Source organism: Homo sapiens, chromosome 6, assembly GCF_000001405.40.
Source record: "Homo sapiens chromosome 6, GRCh38.p14 Primary Assembly".
In the NCBI taxonomy this organism is placed as follows: domain Eukaryota; kingdom Metazoa; phylum Chordata; class Mammalia; order Primates; family Hominidae; genus Homo; species Homo sapiens.
In genome coordinates, this window is record NC_000006.12 from 45,563,597 (window position 1) to 45,589,795 (window position 26,199).

The 26,199-nt window shown below is 42.3% G+C and overlaps 1 long non-coding RNA gene across 1 annotated transcript; it reads right to left on the reverse strand.

Annotated features, from left to right (window-relative positions):
- Positions 1-1,453: 1,453 nt before the first annotated feature.
- On the reverse strand, positions 1,454-13,195 carry RUNX2-AS1 (RUNX2 antisense RNA 1). The gene is made up of 4 exons (NR_187177.1): positions 12,431-13,195; positions 9,783-10,518; positions 3,810-4,091; positions 1,454-2,802 (listed from the first exon to the last, which is right to left on the reverse strand). It is a non-coding gene; the product is annotated as an RUNX2 antisense RNA 1 (long non-coding RNA).
- Between the last annotated feature and the right edge of the window lie 13,004 nt (positions 13,196-26,199).

Genomic DNA, 26,199 nt, shown 5'->3' on the forward strand with positions numbered 1-26,199 from the left:
GTAAGTCTGGTTCAATCAAAACCACGTTTGGTTTTAGAGACTAGTGATGTACTTTCTATAAAAAAAAAAGTGTATTTATATAGACACACGAAGTAAAAATATTCTTTGGCCAAAAGGATCATTTTCTAAGTATCAAATCAACTTGTTAAAGTACCAGATGGGACCCCTTTCATTTTCTTTTAAAATTTGTAGGGTGCCTGCTCCCGGAATCTTCTTTTCTCTTTATTTTGTATCGGCAAGGGCTTTTGAAGATTATAATCATGTATTAAGAAAAATCCTGCGTCGCCTAATGTTGGGACTTATTGCAGACTGTGAACTCATGTTTGAGAGAGAAATGAAGTTATAGGATTCAAATATATAGCTCTCCAGATTTGGCCTGAGTCTTAGAATCATTTTTATGGGCTGCTCTCAAGAGTTTCATATGATATGTTTGAGCTCACAGAGGAGGAACATAAGAGAAGTTCAGTCACTTGCCAAATCCAGATTGTGGAGGGTCAGTTAATTTTAGCCTACTGGCAGCTTGCTGATCTTATTTTCTCTCTGTCCTGTCCTGGGATCATCTGGAGTCCTTGTCCTGCTATAGGAATTAGAACAATCATAGGGGTCAGAACTCTTTCTTCTCCCACAACCTCCCATTAACAGATGAGGAGACGAAGCTCCAGAGTTAAATGTGTGTTGGTTTATAGGATTCTAGAAGGATTGACTCTTTATCGGGAGATTTAAAAAAAATTGAGTTGAAATTCACATAACATAAAATTAATCATTTTTAAGTGAATGATTCAGTGGCATTTAGTACACTCTCAATGTTGTTCAACCACCACCTCTGTCTAGTTCCAAAACATTTTTATCACCCTAAAAGAAAACCTCGTGCCCATTAAGCAGTTGCTTCCTAGTCTCACCTCCACATCCATTTTTTAATATAAGTTGACCTGATCAGCTTGGTTTCCACAGAGTGTCCAGTTAGGGATTCACAACTTTAAATAAGGCATGGCTGTATTTCTGGATGGGACTGAGAGGAGAGAGGGAGTATTTCTCATGGGGAGCAGCAGAGGTCCTGGGCTGGGATCGGGGTGGGATGTGGGAGAGACAGAGTCTGGAGTCTCATGGTAACACAGAATCAAAGACTTTCTGAATGTGAGGGAAACATCTGTTGGGGTAGCTGCTCTTTCTGGGGCAGATTTTTGGTCTCCTGCAGAGGTGATGATCCCTTTAAAGTTCTCACCATTCTCACTCTTGAGTGTCCTGCCTTCCCATCTAGGAGGTGTCTTATTCCTTTAATTTGTGTTGGTAGGCATCCAGGTCTGGCACCAAGCAGTCCCCATTCTGGAAGCCGGGAGGTAGTGTAGTGTAGTCTCACCCAGGTCTTGAGAGAGAGGTCTCCCCGGGATGCTACCTGTAAGCTGTCTCCTTCAATACCCATCATCCCCCCATATAATCATTTTCAAATGGCAAATGATAATGAAAGCTTTCCTCTATTTTGCTTCCAAGTGTCAACGTATCTATACAGGTTATAGATGCATATGTGAGTTGCCTGTTTAAGAAAAAAAGAGGTTTGAGGGGTATTCGAGTATGTTCAGGGAAGACTGAACATTGCCTTGGGTTGCTTTCCAAATGCTCTGTGGGAGGAGGCCAGGAGCATGGTCCAGAGACTGAAGAACTAGGTTGTTTTTAAGCTGCCTCTGGGCAGGGTCAGGAGGTGGTCTCTCCTGAGTCAGGTTCCTTGTGAATCTAAGGGTAGCTTAAAGTTGGGACTGAGACAGGAGTGGGGAACCCAGAGGCCAGTTATGGCACTAAAAAAGATCTGTGCATAGATCCTGAAAGGAAAAACCCAAGTCTCTGACCCCCTTGAGGTCACATGTTCTGGGGCACACAGTGCCCAGGTCTCATGGTGACCCTTCTTCATGGGGCATCTGTTTTACTGAAGAGATTGGGATGGGTGGGGAGAAGTTAAACAATGTAATTGGTAAGTAATTTCAACCATTTTTAAAATTAAAATGTAGATGACTAAATTATGAAATGCAATATAAAATTCATAGGAGTTGTGAAGATAAAGCAGGACTTTGGTGAAATCTACTTTGGGCCAAACCCAGGCAGACTCCCCGGTATTGAGGCAGTTAGGTGGCTGTGATAGAAATAATTGTGAAGTCCTGTCAGTGTTCAGGGCATGTCCCCAGAGGCCTATGGAGTGGTTAGCTCTTGTAGAATTTTCTCCTGCATACCTTGTCCTTTCACTCATCCAACTCCATCCCTTCCTGCAAAACATTTCCCACCTCCTCCATGAAGATCTCCTTGCCATTCTGACCCAATTGCTCAGTGATAGTATATGTAGCCTGCACTGTGAGTTTGGTCCTCCAATCCTCTTATACTCTGTTTCAGTTATCTATTGCTGATTAACAAATTATGCCTCAACTTTGTGATTTAGAACAACAGTCATATTATTGCTCACAATTCTGTGGATCAGGGATTCAGTCAGGAGTCAGCAGGGTGGTTCTGCTCCACAGGGGATCAGCTGGGGCCATTCACTTGGATGCATTCAGCTGGAGTTGGGCTGGAAAGTTCAAGTAGGCTTCACAAACATGTCTAGTTTCTTGGTGCTTCTCTACGTGGCCTTCCTCTCTCCCAAATGGCTAGCTTGGGCTTCCTCACAGCATGATGTTCCCATGGTAGTTAGAATTCTTACATGGTACAGGCTTCTAGGAGGCACAATAGTGGAAGCTACAGGTCTTTTAAGGTCTACCTTGGAAAAGGGGTGGGCAGGATCACTTCCACTGTGTTCTCTTTGTCAAAGCTAGTTACAGGGACCTGCCCAGAATCAAGGAGAGAGGAATAAGCGGAGAGGCAACAAATTTAGAGCTGTCTTTAAACTATTACATGTATTAATAGTTGAAACCCATCGTGACTGACTTGGAAGCCCATGATCTTAATCACTTTGCAATGATTCCTCTTAGATATCATGGTTCTCAATGATCCCTCTCAGCGCTGATTGCAGTGGGACTTAGTGAACATCTGGTGATTATTTCAGGGTTCCAGCATCAGTAACAGGTGTACAAGGAGAAGAGATTTTGGGCATGAGGCATCCCTGCACAGGCAGACACCTCTTCGTCAAGACACAAGGATAGGAAGCATCATGGTGATAAGGAAAGTGAGTGTTTGGCAGGAAAAGATGAGTCCTTAGTGTTTTGTGAATGGAGTCATTATATGCTTTCTTGAGTCCTGTAATAGACTGAGTATATGTCAAATAACCGGCAGTTGAGGGAGCCTTGGTAAGGGGGAAATAGGGACTCACATCACTTTACGTTTCAAGATCTGCAGGGAAGTGCTAGGTGGCAGGAGTCCTCTGAACTTCCCAGTGCACCTGGGGGCTGCCCTGGCCATCACTCAGAGATCCAGCAGGGTCCAAAGAGCAACCCTTCCAGGAAAGCAGAGCTGGGACTCTCCAGAGAAAGAGGCTATTGTTTCTTGCCACTTTAAGTAGCTGATGACAGTACAAAGGAATGCAGTTACGACCCTCCCTTCTAACTATGAAGGATTAGAGACTGAAGAACCAGACTGTGAAAGCCTCTGGGCATGAGGTGTGGGAAATGCTGCGGAGGCAGAGGGGAGCCAGCGTTTCTTGGGGATGGCAATGTTGATTCTAGAATTCTGCCCCTCTACTTCTCAACCATGGGACTCTATCTCACTGGGCCTCCGTTTTCTAATACACACATTGGTGATATGAGAAATGCACAGTTGTGCTGCTCAGGATTTTTTTTAAAGAATTAAAAATTTAAAGGATCTTGCATGGTGCTTGCCACAGGATAAGCACTTACTAAACATTAAATTTTTTATCTCCAAAATGTTAGAAAAGTTGCCTTAGAAATTGTTGAATTCCATTTGTGAATGACCACGCTGAGGCCTGGAGATGTTAGAATGATTTTCAACATGTTGGTGAATCCACATTTCCTCCTCTTGGTCCAGGGCTCTTGTTTCTGTTCCATAGACATTGAAGCCCCTCTGTCAATGCATTTTCATCATAGCCACACTGGCCTTTGTTCTTGAGCAGAGTACTTTATATGACCCCAAAGAACACGCGGTGACCCAAAGAGAAAATCCTAGCTTCAAAAAACAAAGCAAAACGTTAAAAAACAGACAACCAAATAAAACCAATTAAAACACCAACAAGTTTTAACATGAAAATCTTTGAATAAAGCCATTGCCATCCACTTAAATCACATTAGTAAGCCCTTACTCCTCTTTGTATTTTTTTCTATTTTAGTTAAAAAAATTATTTTAAAGATCAGAGTTCAGAATTCTTATTATTTAAGGGACGGGGTCTTGCTCTGTTGTTCAAGGTGGAGTGCAGTGGCAGGATCATGGCTCACTGCAGCCTTGACCTCCTAGGTTCAAGCAATCCTCCTACCTCAGCCTCCTGAGTAGCTAGGACTACAAGTGCATGCCATCACACCTGGCTAAACATTTTTGCAGAGATGGGGTCTCACTGTGTTGCCCAGGCTGGTCTCTAACTCCTAGCCTCAAGCAATCATCCCACCTTGGCAAGTTCTGGGATTGCAGGCATGAGCCACTGCACCAAGCCAGAATTATTTTTTCAAAAAGAATATGTCTCCTTCCAGGCTGTGCCCCACTCCACCCTTGCCTGCCACTTCTATACCAGACAAGTTTTACGCAAGTCCAAATTGGTCTCCCTCTTATCAACAAGTAGCACTGGGAACTTTGTGGTCCATTGACAAGGAGTCAGGGCATTTCGGTTGATGGAAATTAGTTGTCCAGATGAGATGAGAGTCAGGAGGCCTGGGTTCTATGAGACATTATACCAGGGCCCTGTTATGTTTTGCTGCACAACAAATCACCCCAAAACTCAGTGGTGTCAGAGAACAACATTTTATTATGCTCACAGACTCTGTGGATCAGGAATTGGAGCAGGCACACTAGGAATGGCTCATCTCCACCCTAAATATCTGTGGTCTCAGCTGGCCACCTTGAAAGGCAGGGGGTGACCTGAAAGGCTGGGGGCTAGAATCTTCTGAGGCTTCTTCACTCACATGCTGGGTGCCTGACTGGGCTGGTCAAAGGACAATCTTAGCTAAGACACTCTCCGTGGCCTCTCCAGGATAGCCGTCTCAGGGTAGTTAGATTTCTTCCATGGTAACTTGGGCTCTGAGAACAAATGTCCCAGCCAACTTGGCTGGAGCTGTGTGACCTTTTATGACATAGCCTCAGAGGTCATGTGGTGTCTGTCACTTTCACCATACTCCATGGATCGAAGCAGTCACAAGCCTCCTCACATTCAAGGAGAGGGGACCCCATCTCTCAAGGTGGGAGTGTCAAAGATTGGCAGCCATGATGTTAAATGGTCACACATGGTGATCAAGTTTTGGAACACTGAGAATCCACTGCCTGACCGGATTGGTGCTGCTTCCACGGAAAAGAGACAGTCTAAGAGATCAGACTTGGACATTGATGTATTGGATCTTTGGGGCATTTTTGAAGGTTTAGATACAGAGTAATTAAAAATGAGACTATCTTGGGTAATCCTGGGAGGGAGGTTAAGAGTTTTAAGCAGTTTGCTTAAGATTTTCATTTGCCACATCTGAGAAGAGAATTCACCACCATCTGCTTTTTAACTGGAGTGGGACTGCCCAGGTGACACCAAAGGAAGCTTTCGCCTGGAAACATGTGTGGGCATGAACTAGACTTTACATTTTTTTCTACCAACAGCAAAGGAAATGGCAGTGCAAGGAACTCTCCCTAAGAGCCGAGAAGAGGGAGCAGTGGCTTCATTAGGAGGAGGTGGTTGGGCCCCACCCACTAGCCTTCCCCCAACCTGTGTACATACCCAGAAGGAACATCGTTTGTATTGAATCCAAAGAGGAGCCTTTGAAGCCCTCAGAGATCTTCAGAGCAAAGTGCTGGGTGAGGTCAGGGCATTCAAGAGGCCTGGATGGAGGGAGGGAGACTGGGTGTGTGCCAGCCCAGGCCACTTCGAGGCTGCATGCAGCTGGAGGGATGCCCCACTCACAGCTAGGCAGCCCCAGAACAAGTGGTCTGGGGCAAGAAACACAAGTTCACCATGCCGTTCCTGACCTCCCTGTGTTCCCAGAGTAGCAAAAGTGTGTGGGGAGGGGAGAATTAGAGGACTGAGAGCTTGCTTTGTGTTGGGCACTGCGTTAGTCACTTTGTGTCATTAGTCAGTCTCATTTAATCCTCACAGTAATCCTATGAGGTAGGCCTTATGATTCCTAATTTACAGTTAGGAGACTGAGGCTCAGAGATCTTAAATATCATTTTTAAGGCCACAGAGCAGTAAGAGGGGATGATAGAATTCCAAAGAGGCAGATTTCATTTGCCATTCCAAAATCAGCATTGTCACAGGACAAGGACACCACCCTCTGTTCTCCTCTTCCTGTCTTCATTCCATTCCACACTTTTTTCATTAAACTATAATATTTCCATCACTAGACTTCTTGATGCTTGCAAAACCTAATCCCTTCATAGTCAGGGTCAAGGAGTTTTCTGCAAAACATATTTGAAGAAATGATGATCTAGAGTTGTGCTGTCCAATGAGATAGCCTCTGTCCACATGTGGCAGCACAGCTCTAAATAAAACTAACAAAATTAAATTTAAAATGCAGTTCGCTGGTCACACTAGGGCTCTTTAGCCACATGCAATGTATTATTGGACTGTGCTGCTTTAGAGAGTAAGTCGAGAAAGAATTGCATTTTCATAACTAGTTCTACTGCTAGTTTAATTAATACTTCTAATGGTACTTGAGTTACTTATTTATTCCAAGTCTTTCTCAGAGATAAAATAATAGACTTTTTTTTTTAAACAGTACTTTGTAGTTTACAAACTTCATTCTAATGCAATAGCCTTGCAAAGTAGAGTAGGTAATGAGGTTATGAGTGAAGTAACAAAGGTTCCAAGAGGTTAAGCAGCTTAGCCAAGGTTCTACAAACAGTAAATGGTAGAGCTGGGGCTTCAATGCAGATTCTCTCGCGTGTACTCTCCAAAGGGAGAACTTGTGTATATGATGCCTGAAACTATTCTCAGGCAAAATTGTTAAATCAAAAGTAATTTTTTTTTTTTTTTTTTGTGATGGAGTGTCACTCTGTCATCCAGGCTGGAGTGCAGTGGTGTGACCTCGGCTCACTGCAACCTCTGCCTCCTGGGATCAAGCAAGTCTCATGCCTCAGCCTTCTGAGTAGCTGGGATTACAGGCATGTGCCACCATGCCCAGCTAATTTTTGTATTTTTATTAGAGATGGGGTTTCGCCACATTGGCCAGGCATGTCTCGAACTCCTGACCTCAAGTGATCTGCCCGCCTCAGCCTCCCAAAGTGCTGGGATTACAGACAGTGAGCCAACATGCCTGGCCTAAATCAAAAGTAATTTACCATAGCTAGGTGTGATGGAGGATAAATATCCAGTACATGGAAAGGTAACCAACAATACCTAGTCAGGTACGATATGTGTCAAATTAATATATAAAGAATAAGTCATTCATTCATTCATTCATTCATTCATGTATTTCATGTGAAATATGTCCCATCCACTGTTCTAGACACTAGAGACAATAACAAAGGCAGATAAACAGTAAATTCATAATGAAATAAACAACATCATATCAAGTTTTGATAAGTGCCTTGCATAAGCGAAAAGCAAAGAAAGGGCAAGGAGTGGGTGGCGATGTTGTTTTAGATAGGGCTGTTAGGAAAGAGCTTTCTGAAGTGGGCACACTTAATGGGAACCTGAAGAAAGTGAGAAAGTGAGCTGTAACTGTAGGAGAAACAGGGCCAAGCCACAGGAGCCATGAGTGTGAGGGCCCTGGGGCAGGCACATGCTCTGTTTTTCTTCTTGCACTAACTAATCTTATGTTCTTTATCTGATTATATATTTATTGTCTGTTTCCCCGGGTATAATGCCCACACTTGGCTCAAGAAACAATCAGGAGGCTTATGTGCCTGGAATGTAGTGGGAGAGTGGGGAGCGGTAGGAGAGAGAAGTCAGGAGGAGACAGGGCCGAAACATGAAGGACCAGCAGCAGGCTGTGAAGGACTTCAGGTTTTCTTCTGAGGTGACTGGGGAAGCCGTGGTGGTAATGGATGGAGGGCACAAGCTTTTTTAGGCTTTATTTGTTTTATTATTATTATTAATTTAGAGACATGGTCTCGCTTTGTTACCCAGGCTGGAGTGAGCACAGTGGCAGGATGCTAGCTCACTGCAGCCTCCAACTCCTGGGTTCAAGTGATCCTCTTTCCTCAGCCTCCCAAGTAGCTAGGATGATAGGTACAAGCCACAACACTCAGCTAATTTAAAATAATTTAAAATTATTTTTTGTAGAGATAGGGTCTTGCTTTGTTGCCAAGGCTGATCTCAAACTCCCAGCTTCAAGTGATCCTCCCACACTGGCCTCCCAAAGCACTAGGATTTCAGACATGAGTCACCAAGCCCAGCCTGTTATATTAATTTTAATCCAAATTTTTATTTAGAATACTTTTAAGCTTTCAGAAAATTTGAAAGAATTTTACAATAAATACTCTACCTAGATTATTCACCAATTAACATCTCACTGCATCTCTCTCTCTCTTCTTTCTCTATTTTCCCCCCTCAACCACTTTAAAGTAAGTTTCAGATATCATGACACTTTAGGCATAAATACTCATTACATATCTATATATCTATATATCTATATATATCTATATATCTGTATATCTATCTATATATCTATATAGATATATCTATATAGATATATTTATATATATACATCTCCAAAACATGACATCACACCAAAGAAACTTTAATAAAATAATATTATCTATTATTAATATTGTGTATTATTTAAATATTAAAATATGTTAATACGTAAAATAATATTAAATATACTAAACAGCAATATATTAAAATTTTCAAATTAGCTCAAGAATATTCTTCATAGCTCTTTAACAAAAATTCTCTGATTTGATCAAGGATCCCATATTGCATTAGCTGTCATGTCTCTTTCCTCTCTTAATTTGGAATAGACTAGACCTCTGCGGGTCAAATTAATATATTAAGAGTAAGTCATTCATTCATTCATTCATTCACTCATGTATTTCACTTTTCCACCTCCAAGTTCCAGGAGAGGACTGTTCTAATTCAAGAAAACCCAGCTCAGTGAGTGCAAAGGCTTGGATGTCTAAGAATAGGACCCCTTTAGGAGAGGCCCAGGGAAGAGAAGAGGAGCCTGGTTCGAAAAGGGAGACTGGGGCCAGATAAGGGAGATTTTAGGTATGAAGCGAATGACCGGGGCCCTAGGAAGCCACTGAAGGTTTTTGTCAATGGCCCAGGGAAAGCAGTGTTCATCTGGCTGCAGGGTGCAGAGTGGATTCGAGCTGAGAAAGCCTTCATGGTGGAAACGTGTGACATGGTGGCATTTGCCTCTGCCCTTGTCCTCTCCCCAGCCCCACCCAACTCTTCCTTCCTTCTGGTTACCAGAGCAAAGGTGTTATTTCCTATGCCTTCCTCCTCTGCTTCTGGCTGTGTTGACCTCCATCCTCTGTTTCTCATCCTCTTCCTTCTTTCTTTCTGAACTGCCCCCCACCACTCTTCCTTTGAGATCCTTTACCTAAAATGGGAAGCTGAGTGAGAGGGAAGTTGGGGTCTTTGTCAGGGGAACCCACGGAACAATAGTGGAGTCCACCTGGCCTGGGTTTTCTTGAGTTAGAACAGCGCTCTCCTGGAACTTTGAGGTGAAAAAGTGAAAGCCCCAAACCCAGGAACTTCATAGTTTCCAGTTTAAACTCACCTTGCTGCCTCTGCAAAGTTCTCACTCTTCTCGCCATTCCTATAGGCTCCCTCTCGCAACCAGGAATCTAAATCATAGAAAGCTTCAGACTTAGCTGCCATTCTCATCGGCATGGAGCCGTGGTCCTCCTGTGTCCTTGCCAGGCACACCTGTGCTTCTGATGGCAGCTTCATCATGGGGCCCTGGCTATTGCTTTTGAGGCCACAGCAGGACAGAAGTCTAGTCCACAAGTGGGGTCCTCGGTGAGCATGGCCTTGCTTCTGTGGTCTGGTCTGGGAAGTAGCTCAGGCTGGGGGGATTGCCTTGGCTGGAAGGTACAACGTGGCAAATGAGTCTTGAACAGGTTGGAGTTTGTAGGGGCCACTCAAGGCCCACCAGGTAAGCTGGTTTCTCCGCTGTTTCTCACTATGAAACTCGTTCTTTTTTGTTTTGTTGTGCTGTGTTTTGTTTGAGACGGAGTCTTGCTCTGTTGCCAGGCTGGAGTGCAGTGGCGCGATCTTGGCTCACTGCAAACCTCCGCCTCCCGGGTTCAAGCAATTCTCCTGCCTCAGCCTACCGAGTAGCTGGGATTACAGGCATGCATCACCACGCCTGGCTAATTTTTTTGTATTTTTAGTAGAAATGGGGTTTCACCATATTGGCCAGGCTGGTCTCAAAGTCCTGACCTTGTGATCTGCCCACCTCGGCCTTGAAACCCGTTCTTGCACATGTTGGTAAATGTTTAATAACTGGCTCTCTGAGAAAAAAAAAAGGAAGAAAACAAAAGCCTTTTTAATGGTGTTTACTGATTTCTGTGATGTAAATATGGCAAAGTTCAAGCTATCAATATGATGTCACTAAAACCAGGATTGAGAAGTGATGCACCATTTTTTCTCACAAGCTGGTGTGAAGAAGACCTGGCAGTGACAGATACTAAAATGACAGAGGATTGTATGGGACAGTGTGGCAAGTCCCGCGGCTGAGAGGCCATATGGTCATGAAAGCACGGCTCTGTAGGTCACCACTGCTCTGTCTGGTGGCTCAGCTTCCTCGTCAACCATGGTAGTAGGAGCATGAGATGGTTGAGTTCTGAGGGGAAGTATGGAGGAAGAGGAAAGTCCCCTGAGTTATTTTGTTTGCCAAGCAAAATATAAATTAAGAAGCTTGCATGCAGCATGGGCAGTTAGCTGTAGATCCATTGGATGGAATTTTCTACAACCTTAGGATGGATAGAAGCTAATGACGGTCTAGGTGTGCCCTCTATTCAATATTCTTTGACTGAAATTGAATTGATATAGGAGCAGCGTGTTGGTTTAGAATGAAATAGGACATTTCATAAGCCAGCCAAAATGCAAAAAGCAGACAGGAAAACCAAGCAGGACAGGAAAAACATCCCTTGAAACATGAGCCAGGGAGGGTTAGGTTTGAAATGACAAAAGATCTGAGCTCCAGAGAGTCCGAGTATTACATTCTGAACCAATTACTGACAGAAGTCATGAGGCTATGGACCTGGGGAAGGACAACCATGGGTAATGGAAGCAGGTGGCTTAGAAAAAAAAAGCACCTTTCCTCTAGGCACACTCCTGGGTAATCTGGTGTGTTTGGAACATGTATGAGCCTGAGACTGAGCTATCAGGACACAGGCCATGGTGAGCCAGCTGGGGTGTGCCAGGTGCATGTGGATCATGCATTCCCCTATTGAGTTACAACATCCTGTGGGTTCATACCAGCCTCACAGTGCTCCTTGCACAACCTGCTGTTCAGGGAGCTTTCCGTAAGGGCAGGTGCTTCCTCACAATGAAGGGCATGGACACCTGCTGCACTATGCAATAGTAGTGAGGATGGGAGGAGCATGGAGAAGCCAAATATGTAGGAAAGGCATCCTCTTCTTAACTCAGACTGCTGAGTCCCTAATTACCAGCTGCAGACCACCAATAAGGGTAATTCCGGGTTAAGGATGAAGAAGAGATGTCATGATGAGTTAGAAAATCTCTTGACTCAATGTGGGAGGCTGGGTGGCATTCTCTGCCAGGGGCCTGCATTCTTAGCGCCACTCTGCCCTGGCTAATCCTGCTACTAGGGCAAGTCTCTTCAGTCTTGAGGCTTTATCTTCCATATTAACAAAATGGTGATGGTGGTAGTCCTAGCTGGTTTGCAAGTTCCTGTCTAATTGCTTAATTCTCTTTTTCACCAAGGCAAGTGCCAAGACTGGCTTCTGAGGAGTACAGGGGTGGCCTAGGACCCAAACTAGCCTATTTGGTAATGCAGATGTGATTCATTAGCATCACCACCTCCATCACACAGCATTTGCCATTCTTTTGTTAGATCCAGTGCAGAATGCCCTGTGTATTTTGTCCATAGTGTTTCCAGCCTAGCCTGGGAAGTCGATACACGGCATTCACATTCTGTTTGCCATAACATGTGCCAATGGCATATGTTGTGAAATAATTCCTGGTTCCTCACTGTATCTGGATTAGGTGTCAGGATGCTTAATTTCATTGCAGGTGGAGCACCATGCCTGGACATAGTGGCCATGCTTTTATATTTGGACTGGACAAAAGGGATCTTGATAAGAGTTTAGCCTTGGAAGGACTCCTACAGAGAGCATCTATGACCCCCAAAGACAGATTTCAGGCCTACTAAAAGTCTCTTTCTCATGAGACACTTACCCATTGATCAAATGACTTCTCATTCATGGTGTTATCAGTCCTGTTACAATGTTGTTTAACCTGTAACATGGATATAATATCTGCCCTGCCTTCATTTTAGGATTCTAGGGAAGTGCTTGGAAGAGCACCAAGTGCAATGCAACTATAGGGTTATTAATAATGTTGCTATTATACATTTTGATTGATGAGATTTTGACAATGGGAAGCCCCCTCTCTCCCCACTCTGGCCACAGGACCTGTTCCTAAACGTACATCTCAGTCCACACTCCAAAGACATTTCTTGGAAACGCTTCTCATTGTGGTTCATTCTATAAAAAAGTGCTCCGGCTCCAAGTGGGCATGAAAGTTCATCACAACATTTGCCATCAATAAAAACCCAATTCTTTCCATGTGAAAAGCATTACTGCTGTCAAATGGTTATTGAGTGATGATACCTGAATAATGGGAATATAGGAACCGGAAAATATACAAAGGGAAACCTCACTGGGATGCCAAATTGTAAAGACAGAAATGCGAATATCTGAGGGAAATTAGTTAAGCAGAGCACAGCACACATGCCTTCACCAAGGAGGGAAGATGAGCAGGCAGGATCGGTGGAAGGTAGAGAGAAGAAGTGCTGGGTTGAGCATGGCTTTATCCACTTCCTGGTGGGCCTGGGGCAAGTCGCTGAGCTATATTCAGGCCCAGTTACATTGTCTGTTAAATGGGAATGATTCTTCCCTCATGGATGTGTGTGAGAAACAGATGGTATCAAATGGTGGAAATGAGAGCATCAACAATGCCCTTTTGATACGTCACAGAAGACGGTAACTATGACAGCCCATAGACCACGCCCACTTTACGGCCAGCCCTCTCAGTCCAGGAACTTGTTGAAAGTTATCGTCTCAAAAATTCTGTCACAATAGCTGGTGCCTTTGCAATTAAGCTCCTTTGGTCACACAGGACCCCTGGAGCTCATTTGAGACACTTCCACGCCTAAGGGTCAGAAGCTGGTCCAGAACACCAAGGGAGCAGCCTCTTTTGGCAACCCACCTGGCTGCCTGTGAGGCTTCCTGGCCGGGATGCCCTGCTGCCTCCTCTTGAAATGCAGCTCTGCCCTCTGCTACTTCAGCTCCTGGCCACCTTCCAGTTCAGCTGCACATGCTCACATGTTACCAGCCCACTCCTGTGCCATTCTTGGCTGACCAGAAGGAATCAGCGCGGGTCAGTGTGGCAGACAAAGAATAAGGCTTTGAAGAAGTGCTGGGTTGAGCACGGCTTTATCCACTTCCTGGTGGGCCTGGGGCAAGTCGCTGAGCTATATTCAGCCCCAGTTACATTGTCTGTTAAATGGGAATGATTCTTCCCTCATGGATGTGTGTGAGAAACAGATGGTATCAAATGGCTAGTCCCCTGTGTATACAGCTATACCCACGTGAAGTGTTGGTAGAGTGCTCATACTCCGGTTTGCTGGAACACTCTGTTTAGGACAGTTATCCCGATGAAATCAGTAAACAGGCCCCATTTTATTCTCAAAAGTGTCCTGGGTTGGGTAATAAATTATATCACCCTGGGTATTGTGATATCTGGAGGGAGTAAATGAGGCTGGGAACTTTCCCCAAAGATGTTCAGATCCTTAGAATTCCAGTCCCTTCCTCCTCTTTTGGAGCACAGAACTTCGCATCCTTCAGTCTTGATTCACTTTCAAAATAATAATTCTTCAGTTAGTCCATTAAAAGAAATAACAGCCCCGTTTTAATTTCAGCAACGGCCTTGGAATGAAAAGACTACTAATTACTCCAATTAACCAAGCACATTAAGTGCACATGTTCAAACGCATATTAAGATACCATCTATCTCGGTCCTGAAGTTCTCGAGATGCTGGAATGCATAAACATTCAGTGGAAGAATTGTGACTGCAGAGAAAACACAAACAGAGCAGGCTGTTTGTTTGTGTGACTGCCTACTTGTGGAGAAATAACCAAGAGATGTGGAAAGACATGAGGGCTTCTCCCCAGTTTATGTTTGTAATTATTGCCCAGAGGAGACAGAACAAAGAGCTTTCTATTTATAGCCAAAGTCTAAAGGGGGTTGGGAGGGTGGGAGGAGGAAGCTTAGTCATGAGAAAACACAATTTACTATTGGCATTAATAAAATTATATAAAACTGTAGTTTATCAAAAGAACAAACTGTCTTCAGGGAAAATAAATAACTCCTTCCATTTCCTGACTCTGTATACAAGGTTATTAACTACCACTGTCCTTACCAGTGAGAGTAGAGTGGAAGTCGGCTAATGCCATGGGAACGGACGGGCTTCCTGTGGAAGCTAAGTCTGGAGCAGCGCAGGCACAAAAGCTTCAGGGCTGGTCGTGTCTGAGTACCTGTAACCAGCAAAGCCAGTGAAGGCCGCATTTCTTTAGGCACACTTCTAGCTCTCTGGTTGTTTCTCAGAGCTCAGACCTTGGGAAATGCTATGAAGGAGCACAGAAGAAGCTCAAGAACAGTGCTGGCTACTCGTAAAGGATTCTGGTTGATAATATGCAGGTAGCCTCAAGGTTCAGAATCCCATCTTGCTTGAGAAGAGACCAAAGGGGTGGAAGACGCCACAGTGGTGGCCTCCTCCATGTGGAGGAGCTGCTTTCCCAGCTCCAGGAGACAGTACCTGCGTCACATTATGGTTTGTTCTCTCTCTTTCCTTCCCTTTCTCTCCCATCTCTTTTTCTTTCTCCTTTTCCCTTTCTCCCACTTGTTCATCCACTCTTCAATGATTTATGCAGCACATATTCATTATTCATTATTTATGCAGCAAATATTTTGTTTTTTAGAACTAAAATGTTTGACCTATGCTCAATGCAGTGAGCACAAGGGAGCACATTTCTTGCCTTCAAGATCTTACAGCTTCACTGCAGAGACAAGTCTTTCCCTTCTGACATCTTTATTTTGATCACTGATAAAGTAATTTCCATAATAGGCCAGGCTTTAACATTCTAATTCCTGAAGATTCCATTTCTTTCATCCCCTCTCTTCAGTCCTATTGATTCTACTTCTCCTCTATTTTTTCTCTCTCTCTTCTTTCCTTTACATTTCCACTAGCATTTCTACAGAAATGGAAGGGTTTTCTTTATCTTCACTTTTTACAAAATTAATTTTTAAAAATAAGTATTGAATTATTAGATTGGCCAATCACTGTGCCAGGTAATTTCTATATTATCATCCCATTGAAGCCACCCAACAAACCTTTAGAAGTCTGTTACTGCCATCCCCATTTTACAGATGAGGAAACTAAATCTCAGAGAGGCTAAGTGACTTACGTAGGCCACACAAGTGGAGCTCTAGAAGGCCTAGGGAATGGCCAGTTTGGATACCATTCTACAGGTTGTGAAAATGATTATAAAGTTGCCTCCATTTCCAGGTAACTGATTCCTTGCCTTTTGGTTGCTTAAGATCTTGTATCTAACCACTGGACAATGTGACTCCAGGAAGTTCCTGGTCTAGGGCACAGAGGGTACACTTGGCAGCCCCATTCGAGAACCCATGGCATGGTTGGAGTACTTCTCCATCCCTTCCAACAATTTATCTGAAGGTCCAGAGCCTCTAATGTTGTGGACTGGAATTAGGGAGGGTCCTTGGAGGACATGCAAAAGAGGATTTTTTTTCATTCTAATCAAATTGACTTGTGTTTTAGGAGGCTCTCAAGACCGTAGTGGTGCTTCATCCTCTGTTATGCCTAGCAAGGGAAGATATGGAAGATATCGGGGAGGGGTTCACTATTCTGTATGAATGCTCCAGAATGTCCAGTAAGTGAGTCTTCTGCAGAAGCAGAGTAGAGCAGGCACTGTTATCATCATTAAGTCACTTTTGCCTCTTCCTTCAGTTTCACTCAATTGTTCTTCCTATGACTGACCTGCAAGAACAAGAATAGTGAAGAAGTTCTGTTGCTTCTTTTAGATTTATCCATTCCTTCTATCTTGCATTTATGACACTGTCCCAGACAATTATTTTAGTTGTTTTGATTTGTTTCTCTGGTTCTAGTTTTTGTCTCTTGATCTCTAAATCCATCTTGTTCTCTACTTCCCACATAATATTTTATTCTCAAGCCCTTCCTGACTAAAAAATCTACAGTATCCCATTGCCTATTTTTAAGATTTTTTTTTTTTTTTAAGACAGGGTCTCACTCTGTGTCTTAGGCTGCAGTACATTGGTGTGATTACAGCTCACTGCAGACTTAAACTCTTGGGCTCAAGTGATCCTCCCGCCTCAGCCTCCTAAGAAGCTGAGATTATGGGCATGCACCACCACACCAATAGGTTTTGCTATGTTGCCCAGGATGGTTTTGAACTCCTGGCCTCAAGCAATCCTCTCACCAGTGTTGAGATTATAGGCGTGAGTCACCACAGCCCGAGTTTTTTGTTGTTGTTGTTAATTGTAAAAAAGTAAACTTACTTATTGTCCCAAATTCAAACAATACATAAATATATAAAGGAAACTATCTCATATATATGCATACATACATACATATATATATATATACACACACACACACATACACACACACACACACACAGTCATGCACTGCAAAATGATGTTTTAGTCAATGAAGAACTGCATATACAACAGTGGTCCCCTAAGGTTACAATGGAGCTAAAGAATTTCTATCACCTAGTGAGGTCTTAGCCATGATAACGTCATAGTGCAACACATTATCTTTTCTATGTTTAGATACACAAATACTTACCTTTATGCTATAATTTCCTGTAGTATTTAGTACAATAACATGCCATATATGTCTGTAGCCTAGGAGCAATAGGCTATGCCATATAGCTTAGATGTGTAGTAGGCTAGTCCATCTAGGTTTGTGTAAGTACACTCTATGATGTTCACACAATGAAGAAATCACCTAATGATGCATTTGTTAGAACATATCCACATTGTTAAACAATGCATAACAGTATGTGTGTGTGTGTGTGCATATATAAAAATATATATATTCAAACCAAAGAATTGTTCCCTATTTTTTCTTCTTTGTTAACTTTAAATATTTTATCCTTGTAATTCATCAATATGCTAAATGAAAGTTCATTCAAACAATAATAAGAAGTCTTACAATGAAAAGCAGCAATCTCCTGCTCCATGCTTCAACAGCACAGCTTTGAAGTCAAAGGCCTCAGCTAAACTTTGAAAGCACTATGTGACTTGGTGCTGCTTGGGTTACCTTTTGAACCTTTTCCCCACTTCTCAACTTGGACTAACAACTCCCTCCAGGTCAGGCGCTTGTCTGATTGTCATTCTTTTAAGTGGAGAGTTTAGGCCATTTATATCATTTGTAATAGCCAAACTGTTTAGATTCATTTCTACCATCTTATTTTGTACTTTATAGTAATATTTACCTTTTTTTCTATATGTTTTTTTTTTCTCCTTTGCTTCCTTGTTTTGGATTGATTGGTTTTATTCACTCAACTCTGAATTCCATTTTTCCCCTCTATTCCACCCTAAAAATTTTAATATGCAACTTTAACATAATTTAATTGAAAGCTAATTAATATAAGCTTTTTCTGAACAATACAAGAAACAAAGAACTCTTGAAATCTAAGTATTCATCTCTAAATTTTACATGAAGTTATCCAGATTTTAATTATCTCTTGATTTTTAAAGATTCATAAATTAGACATTGTTGTTTGGTACATATAAGTGTTTGTTTAGATTTATCCACATGTTTACTTTTATCTTTGTCATTGACTCACTTGCAATGCAGATCTACCTTCTGGGATGATTTCTTTCTAAAATGAATGTCCTTTAGATGTTTCTACAATGACAATATTCTGTTAATAAAGTCTCTCAATTTGTGATAGTTTGAAATTGTGTTTCTTTGACCATCCCTCTTTTTTTTTTTTTTTAAAGGAAAGATAGCTTTCTTTGTTTAGAATTCTAGATAGCTATTTGACATTAGTTGGTTGATCTGAAGTCATTCAATTTTCCCTGCTGGTCTTGAGAGCTCAGCTATGACCTGATCATTCTTTTTCAGACAATCTACCTGTTCTCTCTGATTGCTTTTAAGGTCTCTTTGTCTTTGTTGTTCTGCAGCTTCACTATGGTATATCTAGGCAGGGATTTCTTCGGTATTCTCTAGGCTTTCTCAATTTGTGCACTGGTGTCTTTCATTAACTCTGGACAATTCTTAGCTATTATCTCTTTTAATATTGCTTCTCCCCATTCTCTTTATTGCTTCCTATAAAACATTCTCAAATTATTCTTTACATTTTCTCACCATTTTTCACATTTCTCATTGCTTTTTTTACTACTAGATTCTGTGTAATCTCTTCAGTATTAAAGTTCATTGATTTTAATGTTTACCCTATTTATTTAAATTATTTCATTTATTACATTTTTAATTTCTAAATTTCTGTTTGGTACTTTTCAAATGTGGCTAATTTTGATAGTCTCTTTTACCTTTCACATAGTTTCAATCTCCTCTCATATTTATAAACCTATTAAACATACTAATTGTATATTCTATATTTGAATAATTCCAGTATCTGTGGTCTTTGAAGGTCTGATTGTAGAGTTTATTGTTTCTGCTGACTTTCACTCAGAGTTGTTTATTTACTTTTTATTACTGATTTTTTTTCTACAGAGCTCATTTTCTTTGTAACTTAATAATATGTAGTAATTCTTTGAGGCTCCATTTATCACCAACTTGGAATCAATTTAACTTTGTAGAGTTTTATTTTAGCCACATTTGTTGTGTATATTCAGGCCCAAAGTTATAAACCTACACATCTGTAGTTAGAAATAGGGAGGGGGAACTTTTTCTTTTTCTTTCTTTGTTTTTTTTTTTTTTTTCTACTCAGAGTCAAGACCAAGCCAGTCATGTATCTCCACCTTGTTCTGTGGGATAGATGTTTTTTTAGCTCCGTCAATGGAGTGTTGCCTTTCCATGATATTGGCTTATTTGTGGGTCTCCATTCTGATATTTCACTCACCTTGAGCTTCAGATTTTTTTCTCTCATGTGCAGGAAATGCTGACTCCATCACTTGATGATGACTCTGGATTTGGGCATTCTGATCATTCATGGGGCCCAAGGAATTACTTTCTAGATAGATCTGTCATACATTTAAAATTTTTTTTATATTTTTCCTAGTATAGTGAGGGATTTTTCTTAAAATCATGTCTACTCTATTGTCAAAAAGGTAAGACCTCACTTTTTTGCATATTGGGTAAATTATGTCTCTGAACTTTCATTTATTTCCTCAGTAAGGTGAAAAAACACATATCATTAAGATTTTTGTGAGGATTAAATAAAAGACTGGATATAAATGCCTTCCATGTAGACATTTAATAAATGATGATTGTTACTATTACTGCTGCCACTATTCTACTATCAATATTAGTACAACCTATTACTAACAACACAAAAGAGCCTGTTCTTCCATGGAGAATCAAATAACTATCCAATTAAAACAAAAATAGTTAATTTTTAAAATAGTTAAGATTTAAGCTTTCTAAACATATTTTTCATGTGTATTATGTTGGGGAGGGTCTTTTGTTTTTAAACACTACCCCTTGAGTAGTTAATAATAACAGACATGGGCCTGTACTCTGAGCTATATCTTTGATAGTGGTATGTGTGTGGGCTAGAAGTTGGGCTCCAGTCAATAACCAACACCAGAGTCCATAGTGGAAACACTTCCGTTCTGTGCAGCATGGGTGGGCAAGCTGAAAGAACACCACTTATTGGAAGAAAGGTGCTACACATATACAATGAGGTGTTATATTTATTATTATTTCTATTTTAAATTATCCATTGAAGAAAGAAGACATGGAGAGAATTTTTAGTGAGGTCCAGGGTCAAATTGGGTTCAGAAGCCCAAAGGGGAACATGGTAGTTTTCTGACTGGGATGCATGTGACCTTGGGCAGGTCAACTAACCTCTCCCAGCTTCATTCCCCTCATGGGTAAAGCAGAAGAGTGGGACTGTGTAGTTTTAGGGAACTTGTACATCTAAATTCTATGATTCTCATCTTTTATTCTCATCCATATCCCCTGGACTCCCTAGTTCACTGACTTCTAGGACCCATAATTATGACTATGTGAAAGAATACTCTTTAATCCAGCGATGCATTCCCAGAGTGACATGTGCTCTAATGTGAGAAACAGTAATGAGAGCTACAGTAGAAACAGAATCCTTCAGTGGCTTTGGCCTCCCCAACTTGATGAGATGCTCATTCATCTCGGGTGTGTGGTTGGAACATGAGTGGGTACAAAAAAGGTGCCAAAATTGCTGCCTGAGGAAGGAAGTAGTTGGAATTGATACCCTGTGAGTGGGGTTAGCTATGTGCAAAAGTAGACCACACCTAGAAACAGGGTATAGTTGTGTTTCTAAGAAGACTCAAGAAGCAACTTGATCCTGTCAGGGGACTGGGCCATATCCCTCAGCCTGGAGTGCAGGGGGTGAAATGTACAGCACTGGTACACGAAGGAGGAAATGGCTGAAGTGCAGTGGTCTCTTTGGAGTGGCTTGGAAGCAAAGGCATATTTCTGTTGATGGGACATATTAGGAAAGGACAGTGATGTTAGAGATAGTTAGAATGAGGCTCAAAGCATGGCTTTTGGAGCCTCTCATCTCTAACTGGAGGCCAAAAGCAGTGGCATGGGGGCTGTTCTGTCATTGTTTCCCAAACTTCAGTCATTTGGATGCCACAGTTAAGATGTTTGCTGTATCCACCTGCTCTATTATTTCTTTAACATTTGTATTGAAGTTGATTTGTTTTTATTGAAATGTTTATTTTAAAAGGAAGCTTTCTATCATTATCAGAAAAAAACCAGTATCACTTGCCATAATTAGAAGACAATCATCCTGTCTCCCCCCCGCACACCATGAAAATAAAGCAATGTCATGAAGTCCTAACGAGGTTATCTTACCTGTAGAAGGCTGTGGGCCTGAGGATTGCTCCTTTCCTGTTAAAGGGAAGATTAGAAAGTGTTGGACTCACCAGCACACCCAGACTTTCTTCTTGGAGTAGTAAGAAAGACTGACAGATCATAGTAATGGGTAAAATTTGTTGAGTCTCTTTTTACATATCCTCCCATTGACACCTCCAGATTTTATGAGACCAGTGATTCTATCATTTCCATTTGTTTTCTAGCTGAGGACATCAAGTCTGAGAGAATAAACCACTTGCTCAGAGCACCCAAGCTAGCTAGGGGTGTAGACAATGGGAAGCGAAGAAATTTGACTCCAGACCTGGAGTTCTTCAGCACAGGACTATATCTTCTCTTACGTGTCAGTCTGTGCTATTGAATGCTTTGACTTCATGGCCTCTGAGAGCATCTCAAGTGCCTCCTACAAGCATTTGCTGTATCAGGAGTTTCAGGAATCTTACCTGAAGGTGCTTAATAAGGATTGGTCTCTTCTCCTCCCCACAACCCTCCTGTTCATGGGACAGACCATCCTGAGCCTTGGTTCCAGTATTCAAGGATGCTGGAAGAGAGGTGGCCACTTCATCTCAAAACACTCGTCCTTGTCCTCTGACAATCCCAGAATTTCCAGGCAACCTTCCAATGGTGACCTGCTTTCCACAGTGGGCTTTCCAACTGGGGTGAGAATGAACCCATCAACTGATAGTAACGCTTGATTTTTGGTTCACAGATGTACCTTAGTGATGGGTACAGGGCCCTCTATCAATATTTACTGAATGAGTGAGTAAATGTTTGGCAGTTATATTTCTAAAACTAACAATGAGATTAATAATAAAATGGCTACTTTATGAAGCTCCCATGCTACACCTGACTTGGTCTTAAATGTCCCTCCTGTGTTATTTCCTCAAACAACCCTATGAAGTAGGTGCTGTTGTCCTCTTTTACAGATGAGGTTGGAAACTGAAGAGCTAAGTAACTGTTTGATCCAAAGCCTGTGGGTGCTCCCAACTCTTGCTTATGCTGCTCCCATCAGAATTGCCCACATGGCTCTGAGTTCTGATGGATTTGGTTAATGATGGTCAGGCCCTTTGAGCACCACCTCTGACTTTACTAACAAGCTGAGTCTCGTTTCCGTCGGCCCCAGTTTCTTCATCTACAAACAGAATATTACTGAAGAGAGCACATGAATGCACTTGGTACATGGCCAGCATTCAATAAAAGGCATTTCTTATTATGGGGAGGAAGCAAAGAGGAACCGCATGGGGAAAGAGAAGCCACTTCAGGAGGATAATGGAGATGGCAGCAACGTTCTTTCTGTTTTTTGGTAACTATGGTGAAGGTGTCAGACAAGGCCTCCAAATGCCAATTTCCCCCTTTCTCAGAAATGCCCCAGAGAGCAAACTCTCCCACCCCAAGTTCCCCCAGAATGAGTATTCAGCACCCTTAGTTGTTGGATACACATCCTCCTGGGCCATGTGGCCCCCCTGCTGCCCGTTGCAGAAACAGCCTGCTGCAGCTGTGGCATTGCAGGAAGTTAATCCCCTCACTCAGGGCGGAGACCAGAGATGGGTGGAACACCCGAGAAGCACAGGCAACGGTGGTGATAATGAAGAGCGTGTGCGAGGCTGGGGGGGCCACCAGGGAGGGGCGGGAGGGCCCCCTGGAGGGTGCAGGGAGGAAAGGGTGCTGAAGCCTCTAGTTAGCTGAGCTCAGCCCCTCCAGCCTGGACACTGGCAGGGTACAGTCCTTCCCAGGGCAGTGTCAGCAACTTGACCCTGGCACCCGAAGATCCCTTCCACCATGGAGTGTGAGGTCTGAATTTGAGAAAGACTCTGTTAATGTGATGTGGTCTCTTGTCTTTATCCATCCTCATTACCCCACACCCCCGCCCCTTTTCAATCACTGTATCAACCCTCAGTTGCCTGTTTACTTGGTTTTGTGGTTTTTCACTTAGATGTGGTTAGAGAAAGGTGGGGTCAGAGGACAGGTTCTCCACCCCGCTCCTTCACCCCCACCCAAGTGTTCTACTTGGTCTCAGAGAGCAGAACATGACACTCTTGGCACAGCAGATAGATAGGGAAATTCTGATTCAGTTTCTCTGGGGTGGGGTCCACGTGTAGGTATGTGCTCTAAGCTCCCAGGTGATCGAGAGCCACTGCTGTAGTTATTGAAGGTATTGGATGACTCACTGCATTTAGAAGGCAAGTCAGTGGGGAAAAAGTTGAACCCAGCTAGTAAGAGTTAGCATTTCTTATTCCTGCACAAACATTAGCTAAGGAGGATTTGACTACCTAGAGTCTTTTGACAAGGCTCTCAAAAACTTATTCCCAGCACTCCATGGATGTGGACAAAGAGTATATATTGTCCAGCTCATTTTATACCTGCAAAATGGCATAGTTAGTAAATCACTGGGGAGCTAAGAAGTTATGATAACAATGGAATGACTTAGCAGAGATGATGGTGGTGGTGATAAGAGGGACAAGCCAAGACCCGAAACCTTTGATGCTCAGATCATTCCACAGTTCTTCAGATGTTATTGAACCAATAGGTGTGCCCTAGAATAATGAATTCCATCCAATACCATCTGCCAGATCCTGGAGGCCATCTTAAACCTACCAGGATAGCTTGGAGGGCACAAATGCCACTTAAGGAGAGAGAGGACAGAGCCAGGGCTGCTTCCTGCCAATATATTTACAGGAGAGATTATGGGCTTAGAGCCTCAGTGAGACTCTGTAGAAAGATATGAGGAAGTTTAGGGATTTTTAAGGAAATGATAGCTTACTTCGTGGGCAGTGCCTGTGTGCTGGATAGTCAGTGGGGCAGTGGTGTGGTGTCAGGACATGCCAGGTGCACACGTAGCAGGCCTGCAGAAGTCTCAGTTATGAAAAGCGTGGAACACACCATCAGTGACAGATGGAGAGGCCCCCCACCCCCACTCTCACCCTGCCACACCCTACCCCAGCCTCTTAGACCACAGGTGCAGACCCAACTCCAGAGTTTGCAACACAGATCAGTAAGAGTCTCCTTCATTGTGTTATTTATATTTTCCCTTCCCCAGCAAGATTGCCTGGTTCAAGATTCGTTATCCACCAGCAGTTACCATTGAGAAATGATGATAGAACATGAAATACCACTCACAATGACAGCTAAACCCACAACATACCTGGGAATTGACCTCACAGAAGATCCCCCAAACGTTTTTGGGAAATTAACAAACAAACTATTTTAAAGTGTGTAAAAATGAAAGGATGATATTATAGCAGAATACCTTCAATGTAAAGTAAAACATGTATACTCCATTTTTAAAAATGATATAGACATATTCAAGGACTTACAGTAAGTAAGTGGATAACCCTGGGAAGAGGGAATAAACTAGGGGCTCATATACATAGACACATATATATTATCTGATAATACCTAAACACATTTCCTCAGCAAATAATAGTTGCTTTCTTGAATACTCAACCCAAACAGGCAAAATGTGTGTATCTTCCATGGTGCTTAGCTCAGTGCCTTGCATGAAAAAGGTGCTCAATACACATTTTTGTAAAAGTTCCATTAAAAATAATATTTATATAATATTTACACATTATGAATGTATAGCAAATTTAGAACATGTACATTATAGAGAGAATCTAGAAAATACACATTATGAAAATTTATAAAATATCGATAATCAAAAGTATGTTAAACTCACCCATACTACTCCTTATGGATAACCCCTATGAACATTTCTAGATTTATTATTCCAGATTTCAATTAGGGTATTTTTTATGATTGATTGATGACTTTTACTATGTTTTCATCCAGTAGTTTTAGCCAGTTTGTAGTTTGAATGAAAACCATTTTGAAATGAGTTCAGTGTACAAAATATTCACTATGCATGAAGTGTAGTGTGTGCAAGGCAGGAGCAGCTAGCCTGGGAGTGAGTCCGAAAGGTGATGTCAAGGAAGACGAGGGGTCAGTCAGGCTCAATGTGATGGGGTTGATCAGGAGAGGGACAACAGGGTGTTGGCAAACCTTCTGTAAATAGCCAGATAGTTAATATTTGCAGGTCCTATTATCTCTGTTACAACTACTCTACTGTGCTGTCATACTGTGAAAGCAGCCAGAGGCAATATGTAAACGAGTGAGCATGGCTGTGTTCCAATAAAACTTATGGGCATTGAAATTTAAATTTCCTATAAGTTTTTCATGTCACAAAGTATTCTTCTTTCAATTTTATATTAAAAAAAAACCAATTCTTAGCTTGTGGACCATACAAAAACAGGTGGTAGGCTAGATTTGGTCCATGGACCACCGTTTGCAGACTTTTGGGGGTGATGTCACAGGACGAAGGAAAAGACCAGAGGCAAGAGAAACCTTGGCAAGTTAAAGAGCTAATGGAAGGGTGTGATAGATCATTGAGTGGGAGGCTGGAGGTGAGGCGTGCTCCTGGAGAGGCTTCAGACACCCATAGCTCGGCTCCATGTGCCACTGAAAGGTTGGGAGTAGTGGAGAGAGATCAGCTGGAATGGACTTCAGAAGAGGATCCATTCTGGGATTATACCAACATTCAAACCATTGCTCAAACTATGTTAGGCCAGAAAGTCTGGTTTCAGGTTCTTCTGAACTCCTTCAAGAAGAAAGAGCAACACACAGGAAAACAATGCCCCGCCTTGAGAACACCCAAGATTTAACACAAATAATCATCTTGAGGTTGGAGTGTGAGAGGTTTACATAAATAACTTCACCAATAGGGTGGATGGTCTATGGCGTCCTTGCAAAGTCAGCTGTGGCAGTCTATTCCTCCCCCTACCCTCCTTATAATGATACTCCTTTCTACTCATTTTTGGTCTCCTCTTCCCACATCCCATTGGTGTTGTGTTCCCAT